General features: G+C 44.6%; 1 protein-coding gene across 6 annotated transcripts in view; it reads left to right on the top strand.

Moving 5' to 3' along the window:
• Positions 1-13,217, top strand: part of CCDC13 (coiled-coil domain containing 13) — a 69,136-nt gene that overhangs the window by 50,595 nt on the left and 5,324 nt on the right. For all 6 annotated transcript variants that reach the window (XR_940385.1, XM_011533418.3, XM_005264898.4 and 3 more), the window contains 2 exons: positions 9,343-9,497; positions 12,861-12,975. Coding sequence is in view for 5 of the 6 variants with exons in the window: in XM_011533418.3 (XP_011531720.1) it covers positions 9,343-9,497; positions 12,861-12,975 (270 nt within the window). In the remaining variant the exon portion in view is untranslated. The remainder of the gene's footprint in view (positions 1-9,342; positions 9,498-12,860; positions 12,976-13,217) is intronic.

Genomic DNA, 13,217 nt, shown 5'->3' with positions numbered 1-13,217 from the left:
TATAGGGTAACTTCCTGATGTTGCCATGGCATCTGTAAACTGTCATGGCACTGATGGGAGTGTAGCAGTGAGGACGACCAGAGGTCAGTCTCATTGCCATCTTGGTTTTGGTGGGTTTTGGCCAGCTTCTTTACTGCAACCTGTTTTATCAGCAGGGTCTTTATGACCTGTATTTTGTGCCAACCTCCCATCTCATCCTGTGACTTAGAATGCCTTAACCATCTGGGAATGCAGCCCAGTAGGTTTCAGCCTTATTTTACCCAGCTCCTCTTTAAGATGGAGTTGCTCTTGTTCAAATGCCTCTGACATTTTCCCCCCATCCCTTTTATAGGAGAACCATTAATCCTAAGGGTTGCAGAGGGACGAAGATCCATCTTTTGTAACTTCTCCAGGCTGAATAGGGGCGATGATATTCCTCCCTCTTGTGTTCAGGGTAGTGAGGAGCTCAGTCAGAAAGCATCAGTATGGTGAGGGCCATTCATAACTCTTGAGTCCAACAAAAGGTGATATCTGGAAGATTAATAAGTGTTCAATTTAAGAAAGTATTCAGTAAGCTTATCCTGCATTCCTATACAAAGAGTACAACAGCAATATATTCCACAACAGTAAAGCAAGGTAAGTAAAATTATCCCAAGTAAACTAAATTAGAAGGCTTTCCATGAACTGGCCAACTGTTGGAACCAAGCTGATATGGGGTTGCTAGCCAATTCCAATACATGCCCAGAATTAGAATACTGTTCCAGATTTTCACATGACCCATCCCTCGTGTTTCTTCTGGACAGCAGTCAGAGATCACTGGCTGGCTCACAGGAATAAACAAGGTCAGTTGCCCAAGGGGTTTTTATTGGCTCTACAAGTCAAATTTGATTCCTTAAAGGAAAGCACACCATTCAAGTCAAAGTTTTGGTAAAATAACCAATTTCTCCAATTGTGTCCTGTTGCAAAAGAAAACAGATTTGTATTGCAATTATGCAAATAACTACGTTGCCATAAGTTAAGAATACTCACACATAGTTTCCAAATTGTGGAGAAATCAGGTAGAGAGAAACAAATATGTTCCAAATTTTGTTCACAGGAGTATGCTTTACTCAATTGTTAAAAGCTGTAAATAGCTGAAAAGTTTCCTTGACTCTGAAAAACAAAACAAAGGATCAGCAACGTTTGAAACAAAATTAAAAAGATTACTTTAGACTTCTTCAGTTTAGTACATGCAGTTAACTTCTGTTTGATATTCAGGAACATTTCAGCTCTCTATGAGTCCTGAAAGTGTTTTCCTCTATTCTAATGTTACAATTTCCAAAGTTATCAGAAACTTGCATTCAAGAACATCTGTCAAAGTCCTGTAGTTGATTATAAACCACCTTCTAAAGAGGATTAAAACAGGACAACAATTGTAGATGATAAAAAGTCTTAGGACAGCCACTATTAAATCCACAATTGACTAGGAAATTTTGGTTGCCTCTGTGGCACACAATGATTTTATGTAATAATTATTAATAACACATTAAGTCATATCAGAATTATAGGAGTTTTAAAAATAATTTTGGAACATATACCAGTAACACATTTATACAAATATAGCCTGACGAAAGCCAAACACTATTTCATATTTGACAATGCTTTCTATATGATTTTTATACCCGATAAGCCAAATGTTACTGTAGCATTAGTGCGTTATTGATGTCAAATCCAATTCTTAATAAAACCTTATAGATAAATTTATTTAATCTTAATCAGTTTGAACATAAGGTGAGATTCTTACAAACTTTGTATAACCCTTTACAAATTTTTGTTAAAGAGATCATAGGCAGGTTTTTGCTCTAAGAAAAACCTGTTGTGCTTTTATTCCAATGTTTAATTGACGGAAAAGCTGAATAATACCCCTTTAACTTTAGTCAGTATGTTCACACACAGAATGTCTTTTACAATTAATTTTTCACAAACCTTCCACCCCTTGCTTAAACCTTTAGTTTTATTCTAACTTAAAACAATCCTTTAACCTTTAATCTAGGCAAGAAAAATCCACATTCCCATGACTTCTTATAATTTTTCACCAAAAACACATTTCACTTTCTTTACACACCTCGCATGTAAAACTGTTTCTTCAGTAGTCTCAATTACATGTTACAGTGTTAACTCTTAGCAACTTTTACTTTTGGTGAAAACCTTGGTAAGTTTGGGATTTTAATTATGTACTAGTATGGAGCCTAGGACAGCAAACAGAAGTGCAGATAAGGTCTGACTCTTTCCAGCGTCTAACTTCTAATGTGTCCCAGGCCTTACCTAGCTGTAAAGCAGGTAAGTCATACAGTTAAGAGTCATAATGGCATTTTACGAGGCATTTAGGAGGCCTAACAACCTTCAAATTACACAACATTTCTTGCGTAAATTCCCTTTTTTTAAACAACTAGTCATTTTACTTTAGGACGAGAATTTACCATACAACATCCTTTCTTACATAAAATCTCTTTTCTTTATAACCATCTTTGCATAGCTAGGGGGCATGGCTAATTCCACATGTCCCCAGGCCTTATGTAGAATCTAATGCTCCAAAGTAGGTAAATTGAACAATTTTCAAAAGTCAAAGAAGCAGTTTATGATCTTAAAGAATTTAGTAAATGTAATATCTGACCTGCATAATTTAGACTAAATGTTTACATTTTTGAAGATATTTTTATTTTACCAATAATCTTTAAAACTCTATTTCCCAAAAATTACTTAAGTCACAGGAACTAAAAGACATTATGCTTTTTATTTTTCTGATAAAATATTTAAGCTCTTATTATTTTCAAACCAATTAAAGTTCTTTCATGTATAAACATCACACACATAATACATATACATATAGACAGAAGATAAAGGAGTCATCCCCTAAGCTGGGAATGGAACCCTGAACCCAGGCTGCCATTGTGAAAAGAGAAAGCATGGCCACATGGTTACAAGGTCAAGCTCCCAAGGATTTACAAGACAAGAAGGAAACCTCATCCAGGTTTTTCAGGGATCTGCAGCAAAGTTTGTAACTGACCAGTTTGCTGGGCCGTCTTGAAAAGCAGGCTTATGGGTGTCCTAAGCCTGTGTTCCATCATAAGGTACCCCTCTTTATGATGGAACAATACAGAAAAACACGTAAAGCACACCAGATTCGCTGCAGCTTAAGACTAGCCTCACAAATCCTTTTTCTAATTAATTAAAACTTTACAGGAGATAAACAATGATTTTTACCAGTCTGCACAGAGAGAGAGAGAGAGAGAGAGAGAGAGAGAGAGAGAGAGAGAGGAAAGCACTGCCTGAGGCAGAGTGGGGAAGGTGAGGTGCTCAGAGAGGCCAGAGAAAGACCCACCCATTGCAGCGACACTGAAAAGTTCAGGCGGCTGCTTGTCAGTAAGTGAAGGGATCTTTTCCAGCAGTCCCATCTGCTCTCAGCTTTCCCTTTTAGGGAAGAAAAAGCTCCCCATGTCCCACAGTCCTGTACGTGCCTAATCTTGTCACCCACAGCCATCAGCGAAGAGTGCAAGACAGATTAATCCAAAGAGAATAGCAGTTAACATCCCGGAGTGCCAAACCCATTTTTAGCTGAAAGGGACTTTACCGAGAGGAACTTTACTGAGAGGACCACTAACTCCCTACATCTTAGAAGGGACTCTAACCCTCCTAAGTTGGGCCTCTAACCCAAGGTCAGTCAAGCATCTTTGTTTTTTATTAAGAGGGGCCTCTGACCCACTTTGTCTTAGGAGAGATGCTAACTCCCCTAAGTTGGGCCTCTAACCCAATCCCATCCTTTACCTGGGTTTATGTACCCCACTTACCCAAAGTCATCCAATCAGTGCTGAAGTCTATTTCCTTTGGGTTGGGGGGTTCTCCTCAGTATCATCCCTTCTGTGGTTCACCAGAAAGATGTTACTGGATCCCACCACTTACCCAAAGTTAGCCTTTGGGTCAGGGGTTTCCTCACTATAGTCGCTTCCGTGGTCACCAGAAAGATGTTACAGGACCCCAACACTTATGCAAAGTTAACCTTTGAGTTGGGGGTTTCCTCACTTTAGTCCCTTCAGTGGCCACCAGAAAGATGTTACAGGAAAGGGTCCCGATCCAGACCCCAAGAGAGGGTTCTTGGATCTCATGCAAGAAAGAATTCAGGGCGAGTCCACAGCACAAAGCAAAAGCAAGTTTATTAAGAAAGTAAAGGAATAAAAGAATGGCTACTCCACAGACACAGCAGTCCCCAGGGCTGCTGGTTGCCCGTTTTTATGGTTATTTCTTGATGATGTGCTAAACAAGGGGTGGGTTATTTATGCCTCCCCTTTCTAGGCCATATAGGGTAACTTCCTGGCATTGCCGTGGCATCTGTAAACTGTCATGGCGCTGGTGGGAGTGTAGCAGTGAGGACATCCAGAGGTCACTTTCATCATCATCTTGGTTTTGGTGGGTTTGGACCACCTTTTTTACTGTAACCTGTTCTATCAGCAGGGTCTTTATGACCCTGTATCTTGTGCTGACCTCCTATCTCATCCTGTGACTTAGAATGCCTTAACCATCTGGGAATGCAGCAGTTGGTTTCAGCCTTATTTCACCCAGCTCCTATTTAAGATGGAGTTGCTCTTGTTCAAACGCCTCTGACAAAACCACTGTGCTTTGGAGAGAACAACATGGCGGTGGATGGTTGTGGTATTATGCAATAACAACACAAAATGGACGAAGACACATCGTTAGACCCAGCTGGGTAACATACCTGAACTCCAGAATAGGGAGAAAAATCTAGGAGCTGACAACCAACCAAGTCATTAGCCAGCAAGAAAATGGAGACCACAGTCCTAGAACTACAGGGGACTAACTTCTGCTAACAACCTGAGTGAGCTTGGAAAAGGATCCCATGCATCAGATGAGATAGCAACTCCTTCTGACACCTTGACTTCAGCCATGTAAGACACTGACAAATTAGCTAGGCCAACCTTGGACTTCTAACCTACAGAAACTGTGAAATAATAAATTTGTGTGGTATATGTATGTTTTAATTGTGGTAAGCTATATACACCAAACATTTGTCATTTTAACCATTAAAAGTATACAATTCAGTGGCACTGATTACATTAACAATACTGTGCAACCGTTATCTCTATTTCCAAACTTTTTCATAACCACAAACAGAAACTCTATTACTATTAAGCAATAGCTCCTCATACGCCACCCACTAAGCCCAGCATCTAGTAACCTCTTTACTTATTTTTTTTTTTTTTGAGATGGATTCTCGCTTGTTGCCGAGTCTTGAGTGCAATGGCATGATCTCGGCTCACTGCAACCTCTGCCTCCCGGATTCAAGCAATTCTTCTGTCTCAGCCTCCCAAATAGTTGGGACTACAAGCACCCACCACCATGCCCAGCTAATTTTTGTATTTTTAGTAGAGATGGGGTTTCGCCATGTTGGCCAGGCTGGTCTTGAACTCCTGACCTCTGGTGATCCACCCGCTTCAGCCTCCCAAAGTGTCGGGATTACATGCATGAGCCACCATGCCCAGCCAGTAACCTCTTTTCTATGAATTTGCCTATTCTAGATATTTTGTATAAGTGGAGTCATGCAATATTTACCCTTTCGTGTCTGGCTTATTTTACTTGGCACAGTGTTTCCAAGGTTCATCCGTATGGTAGCATATGTCAGAACTTCATTCCTTTTTATGACTGAATAATATTTTATTGTGTGCATGTACCACATTTTGTCAATCTATTCATCTGTTGATGGACACTTGGATTGTTTCCACCTTTTTGGCTATTGTGAATAATGCTACAAGAACATTGCTGTACAAGTACCTGTTTGAGTCCCCGTTTTCAATTTGAGAAGTGGAATTGTTTGATCATAGGGTAATTTTATGGTTAGCTTTTTAAGGAGCCACCAAACTTTTCCACAATGGCTGCACCACTTTATAGTCCCACCAGCAGTGTACAAGGGTTCTAATTTTTCTATATCCTCACCAACACTTATTTTCCTTTTTTTCAATAATAGCCATCCTAGTAGGTTTGAAGTGATATCTCTTTGTGGTTTGGATTTGCATTTCCCTAATGGCTAATGATGTTGAGCATCTATTTATGTGCTTATTGGACATTTGTATATTTTCTTTGGAGAAACACAAGTCTTTTGCCTACTTTTTAATTGGGTTGTTTGTCCTGTTGTTGAGTTGTAGTAGCTCTTTATGTTTTTTGGAAATTTTTTATTGTTTCAAGCCACTATTTGTGGTAACTTGTTATGCAGCAGTACTAATACATTTACCCTATTATTAACTGGGAAATCAAGTTTTTTGTAAACTTATAGGAAGCCATCTATTTCTTCTATATTGTGGAATTGTCAGAATAGCAAAAATCATTGGTTCCTTGGAGGTTAGATAGAACTTTCTTGAGAACCTGGCTTGACCTGATTTTTTTTTTTTTGGAGGTAGATCTTTGACAACCTTTTTTCAAATTTAGATTTTCTGTGTCTTCTTGAAGTAATATTAGTACATCTTGTTTACTTACAGAATTAAACATAATAATGCTTATGCAGTGCCTTAACACAGTAGTTGGTATGTGGAAAGCACTCAAAAAAAGTATTAGCTGTGCTGTTGTTATAAGATTTTTCTCCTTGTCCTGGAGTTCAGGTATGTTACCCAGCTGGGTCCAAGGATGTGTCTTAGTCCATTTTGTGTTGCTATAACAGAATACCACAGACTGAGTAATTTATAAAGAAAAGAAATTTATTTCTCACAGCTCTGGTGGCTGGGAAGTCCAATATCAAGGTGCCAGCGTCTGACAAGGGCCTTCTTGCCGCATCCCGTGGTGGAAGGCAGAAGGGAAATGGCATGGGGAAAGTTGAAGTGGGGACAAAGTTATCCTTTATCAGAAACCCACTCTCATGATAACTAACACACTCCACTACTGACCAGTGGAACTTTCTGTGATGATGGAGTTGTTCAGTATCTGCACTGACCAATACAGTTTAAGAACTTGAAATGTCACTAGTGTGACTGAGGAAATGAATTTTTAATTTAATTTTCATAAACTTTATTTTTTTTTCTTTTTGTTACAACAGAGCCTCGCTCTGTTGCCCAGGCCAGAGTGCAGTGGTGCGATCTCGGCTCACTGCAACCTCTGCCTCCCAGGCTCAAGTGGTCCTCCTACCTCAGCCTTCCAAGTAACTGGGACTACAAGCACACGCCACCGTGCCAGGCTTATTTTTGTATTTTTTGTTGTAGATATGGGGTTTTACCATGTTGTCTAGACTGGTCTTGAACTCCTGGACTCAAGTGATCCACCCACCTATGCCTCCCAAAGCACAGGCGTGAGCCATCGTGCGTGGCCTGAAATTTAATTTTTTTTTTTTTTTTGAGACAGAGTTTCGCTCCTGTTGCCCAGGCTGGAGTACAATGGCACAATCTCAGCTCACTGTAACCTCCACCTCCCTGGTTCAAGTGATTCTCCTGCCTCAGCCTCCCAAATAGCCGGGATTACAGGAGCATGCCACCACACCTAGCTAATTTTTTTTTTTTTTTTTGTATTTTTAGTAGAGACGAGGTTTCACCATGTTGGCCAGGCTGGTCTGGTCTCAGACTTCTGACCTCAGGTGATCCACCCACCTCGGCCACCCAAAGTGCTGGGATTACAGGTGTGGGACCCCGGGCCCAGCCCCTGAACTTTAATTTTAATGGCTACATGTGGACATGAACCTCGCAGTCACTGTGTTGGGCAGCACAGCTCTATCATATTCTATCACGTTCTATAGTATGAATATGTTACCACTTACTTGTTTGTCCCCTGATGATGGGCCTTTAGGTTGTTTTGGGTTTTTGCTTTTGCAAATAAAATCTCAAGGAATATGCTTAAATATGTGTTAGTAGCTGTTTACTGTGTTACTATACAGCTTTTTATTAGTAGTTGTATACTGTTCAAAATTGTTGTCATTCTGTTCCTTTTGACCCTTCACCAAGGTGGAAAGATCACTTCCTCCAACACTGTCAGTTTCAAGGCTGCCCCTCTAATTTTCAGGTGTGCATGTAACTCTTGGCTTGGGTTAGATCTCAGGGAGTTCTGGCTTTCTCACTAAATGAACCTTTAGTATCATAGAAGTCTGAAATGGCACACCTAGCCACAGGAAGGACCTAAGCTCAAGCTCCAGTGGGATTAAACAAGTGCTTCATGTGAAATAACATTTATGACAGGCATGTAGAAAACAAAACAATAAGCTTAAGATAATCACTAACTCCAAGAAAAGCGAACAATTAAATGAGAAAGGACATATGACACTGTGCGTCATGGCTCTAACTAATTGTCCTAACGTAGACAGGCTTTTGGTGTCTATGCCCTTTGCTCCCTGCTGTTATGCCTGTGAGTGCTTTATGTTACATGAAAAAGAGATTTTGCAGATATGATTATTGTTATGGACCCTAAAATGGAAAGATTATCCTGGATTATCTGGTGGGCTCAATGTAATCTTTTGAGCCCTTAAAAGCAGAGAAATATCTCCGTCTGGGATTATTCAGAGAGTTGCTGTGGAGGAAGTCAGAGAGGGTAGTGAGATTCAAAGTGTGTTAAGGGTATCTAGCTGGCTTTAAAGATGGAGGGGGCAAGGTGGCTCCTAGAAGGTGAAATTGACCAGCAGCCTGCAGGGAACAGGGACCTCAGTCCTTCAACTACCTGGAACTGGATTCTGTCAACACTCTGAATGGGCCTGAAAGTGGATTTTCCCCCGGAACCTCCAGATAAGAGCCCAGGTCAGCCAACCCCTTGATTTCGGCTTGTGAAACCAGAAGCAGAGAAACCCACTGAGCTTGCCAGGCCTCTGACTTACAGAACTGTGAGATAATAGATTTGTGTTGTTTTAAGCTGCTAAATTTATGGTAATTTGTTATAGCTGTGATAGAAAACTGATACCTAATATCAATTCATCCAAAAACGTATACAGGTGATTCTGTTTCGTAGGAGGAGAGTACTAAAATAAAACTAAATTCTTATTTTGCATGACAGGAAGTCAAAAGATTATATTTAAACCTTATATAAACCTAAAAATAGCAACATAAGCATCTGTAGAAATATGGCAGTAAATATTAAAAGAAACAGCTAGAAGTGTTATAAGTGATTGCTTTTAGAGAGCAGGAATTGGGAATGATGGGGCTGGGAGTGGGCTGATAATTTTTAAATTTTAACCTTGGAGAGAACCATATGGTGTTTAAATGCATGTTCCTGTGTTACTGCAATGAAAATGAAGAGGTCCCATCACTACCAATGTAAGATGTGCCCATCTCTCTAAGGGCCTGAGCAAGTGGGGTAGGGCCTGCCCCTGCCTGCCAGGGCATGTAGCATCCCCTCCTCTCTAATCACCAGGGTGGAGGAGAGCAACAGCAAGCTCCTGGAGTCAGAGAGGAAGCTGCAGGAGGAGCGACACCGCACCGTGGTGCTGGAGCAACATCTGGAGAAGATACGCCTGGAGCCAGGGAAGGCATCAGCCTCCCAGAGAGCAGCTCCCAGGACCAAAACAGGTAGGGGCCAGGGCAGTAGTCTCAGTGCAGGGGGTGGAGGCAGTGTTGCTGCTAACAGAGGAGCCAGGCAGCTGCACTGTTCAGCCCATCAGTGAGCATGTGGGAAGCAGAGCTTCCATCAGGGTGGAGCTCTGCCTGCCTCCACTGTGGGGTGTTCTTTTCCCCAGGCCTCTCAGTCAGAAGCAGGAGCCCCAGAGCTCCATTGCCTCGTGTGGCCCTGGCCTGGCCACCTGTAAGCCCTCAGCATGAGGTGGCAGTGCTGAATGCCCCCAGCCACCCTAGCCCTCAACCCTCTATCCTAAGCTGACTTCATTCAAAGTGGTCATGGGGCACAGCTGGTCTGCTGGGGAAGCCCAAGCAACAGTGGCTGAAGCAGGGGAGGAGTCCCTTTGTGCCTCCTGCAATGGTCAAGTTGATATAAGCAGGAAGTAGCCTCACCAGAGGTTTGGGGACCCAAGCTCCCTCTGTTTTGTGGCTCCACTGTTCTCAACATGCAGCTTCCATCTTCTGGTCTACAATGACTGCCTGAGCTTTCCCATCAGCAGCAGGAAGGGGAGAAGGGAAGGAGACAAACTTCTCCTTACCTTTTACGGTTGCATATGTCACTTCTGCTCTCATCCCATCAGCCAGACAGTTGGGCATAGCCAGGTGCAGAGGGAAGCTGGGAAATGCTATCCTTAACTGAAAAGTCTATCGCTCGAACACAGTGGTTCTCAAGGTGCAGTATTCAGATGAGCAGCATCAGCATCCTGTGGGGCTGGGGCGAGCTGGAGGATGCCAGAGCCAGAAGCCATTTCTGGGATGGCTGACTCCCAGGGAGGAAGGGTCTCCAATGTGGAGGGGCTGGGCCTGCCTCTGTCTGACCTCCCATCCCACCCATCCCAGCCCCCTCCAGGCTGGAATGCTGGAGGTGCTGCTGCCCCCACTGCACCCTCTTTCAACACCCCAGTAGCCCCCCAACCCCTCCCCAGCCAAGGATGGTCAGACCCTTGGTCTCAGTCCTCAGCCCAGATGAGGTCAGAACGTTTCAGAAGGGTGTGCCAGAAGTAGGGCATAAAGAGGGTGTTGGGGCCACTTGCTTTCTCTTCTCCCACCAGCAGGGCCAGGAGCTTCTGAGAATCCAGGCCGGGAAGGAAGGGTCTCTGGGGCTTAGCCTTGCTGACCCTCTTGGACTCTCAGGAATATGTTCCCTAGGAGTGTGGCTTCTCCAGGCTGGGGCTTACCTCCTGTAGGGCAGCAGGACTTCCAACCAGGGAGAGCTAAGCCACAGCAGGCAAGTCACTTTGTTCCCTGCTGGACAGTGAGGGCAGCTGCCTGAGGGAAAGTGTCCAGGTGGCCTCTGCTGCCTACTGGCTTTTAACATGGGCAAAATCCTGCCCCTCTGGTGAGCAGAGCACCACTTACCCGCCTCCCCCTGGCCCATCCGTAAAATGAGGAGGCTAGATTTATAATTCAGTCCCCCATGGCAGTCTCACTCCAGTAGGGGAGCTAGACATCTGAGCAGAGATGGAGGAACTGGGAGGGGATGTGGCCTGCCGATCCCTGAGGGAAAGACAAGTGTCGGTGCTTGGAAGCTTAGCTGGATGCTTGGAGGAACAGGGAGGAGGCAGGGAGGCTGGAGTGGTCCAATCACACAGGGCCTTGAGAGCCAAATAGAATTCACTGAGGCTGCCAAAGCTCTAGAGGCATAAACTATTATCCTTTTTTTCAGCTAAGGAAACCAGCTCAGAGAGGCTGATAGTTTGCCTGAGGCCTCTCAGCAGAGGGCGAAAGCCAGGTCTTCTGATACCAAGTAATTTACTGTGGGTCACACCACCTCTGAGGGCCTTTTCAGTCCCGAGGTTTTCTGATGCTGTGATTTTGCCCAAGTTCGCCACCACCAGTTGAGCTTTGTCTTTTTTTTTTTTTTTTTTTTGGAGACAGAGTCTCACTCTGTCCCTCAGGCTGGAATGCAGCGGTGCGATCTCAGCTCACTGCAACCTCCACCTCCCTGGTTCAAGCAATTCCCCTGCCTCAGCCTCCCAAGTAGCTAGGATTACAGGGGTTCGCCACCACACCCTGCTAATTTATGTATTTTTAGTAATGATGGTGTTTTACCATGTTGGCCGGGCTGGTCTTGAACTCCTGACCTCAAATTATCCACCCCCCTAGACCTCCCAAAGTGCTGGGATTATAGGCATGAGCCACCGCACCCGGCTGAGGCTCTTTTTGATTCCCTGTGTCACAGGGCTTAGAAAATTCCATCAGGCTGAACAAGCAGTTTCCCATCCAGGGCAGCTCTAGTTGGGGATGTGGAGGTGCTCAATGCGTGGAATAAGCCAAGGGCAGCTTAGCAGTGTCCCCTGGAGCCAGGAAAGGCCCTGAAGAACACTCAGTCCAGCCCCTGTAGAGGGCAGAGCCACTCTGCTGCCTCCCCAGCAATGAGACAGGTTTACACAAGACTAGTCTTGAGGTGCATGCCTCCATGCCTGGCTAATTTTTATGTATTTTTAGTAGAGACAGGGTTTCACCGTGTTGGCCAGACTGGTCTTGAACTCCTGACCTCAAGCAATCTGCCCCCACTTGGCCTCCCAAAGTTCTGGGACCACCCCACCGTGGGCCACTTTGTCTCCTTTTTGTGAACATTCTGTACCCTTCAACTCCAGGACCCTGGATCCCCTGCTTCCTAGTATGAAGCTGATGGCCTGGATGGGGACCACTGGTATGAGGGCATCAGGTACAGTGACAGTCTAGACTCGGGCTCAGCCTGCAGGCCAGACCTCAGGCTCAGCTGGTTTCTCTTTTTGAAAACAAATTACCAGGCTGGGCATGGTGGTTTACGCCTGTAATCCTGGCACTTTGGGAGGCCTAGCCAACATGATAAAACCCTGTCTCTGCAAAAAATACAATAATTAGCTGGGCATGGTGACAGGCACCTGTTGTCCCAGCTACTCGGGAGGCACAAGAATCGCTTGAACCCTGGAGGCGCAGATTGCTGTGAGCTGAGATCACGCTACTGCACTCCAGTCTGGGTGACAGAGCAAGACTCTGTCTCAAAAAAAAAAAAAAGAAAAAAAAAAGAAAACAAATTACCAGAAACTTGTAAAGTATAAAGATGGAGACAGGGTGGTGAGGAACCACCCTGGTACAAAGCGAGCAGAGTCAGGGCTGTAGCAGAGGCCAAAGCCAGGGGCAGAGGCATGCAGAGGAGGCATCAGGGAGGGCTTCGGAGGGAGGCAGAGCTCAGAGTTGCCCTGCACCCCGAAGGCGGTGTAGCGTTTCACCATGTGGAAGAGCAGGCAGTGGGCAATGGCGGGAGGAGAAGCAGGGTGCTAGCACAGGGCTGTGGCCTCCTCACAGAAAGTGGTTGCTGCTGCCCCACAGGTCTGCCCACCTCTAACAACAGGCACAACCCAACCGGGAGCGAGAAGAAGGACCCATCCTTTGCCCAGCTCTCCGATGTGCCCGTGGAATCCCAAATGGAAGAGCTGACAACCAGGTGCTCCCCTGCCCCGCCTTCCTGAAAGGGTAGGGTTGTCTGAGCAGAGGTGCCTCCATGGGCAGAGGGACTGTGTCCCTCCCCTTGCACTTTTGACTCATTTGCCCAGAAGGCTTGTCCTGTTTGGTCCTGGGTTCTAGGCCTGCAATTCAGGGACTGGCCTTCAGAGGACAGAGGGCCCGGCCCAAACCCCAATGACCCATAGTCCAAGAGAAATTTTATCAAGCATGGATCACTGAACC

This window comes from Homo sapiens, chromosome 3, assembly GCF_000001405.40.
Source record: "Homo sapiens chromosome 3, GRCh38.p14 Primary Assembly".
NCBI classification, from domain to species: Eukaryota; Metazoa; Chordata; class Mammalia; order Primates; family Hominidae; genus Homo; species Homo sapiens.
This window is presented reverse-complemented; position numbering and strand designations above follow the sequence as displayed.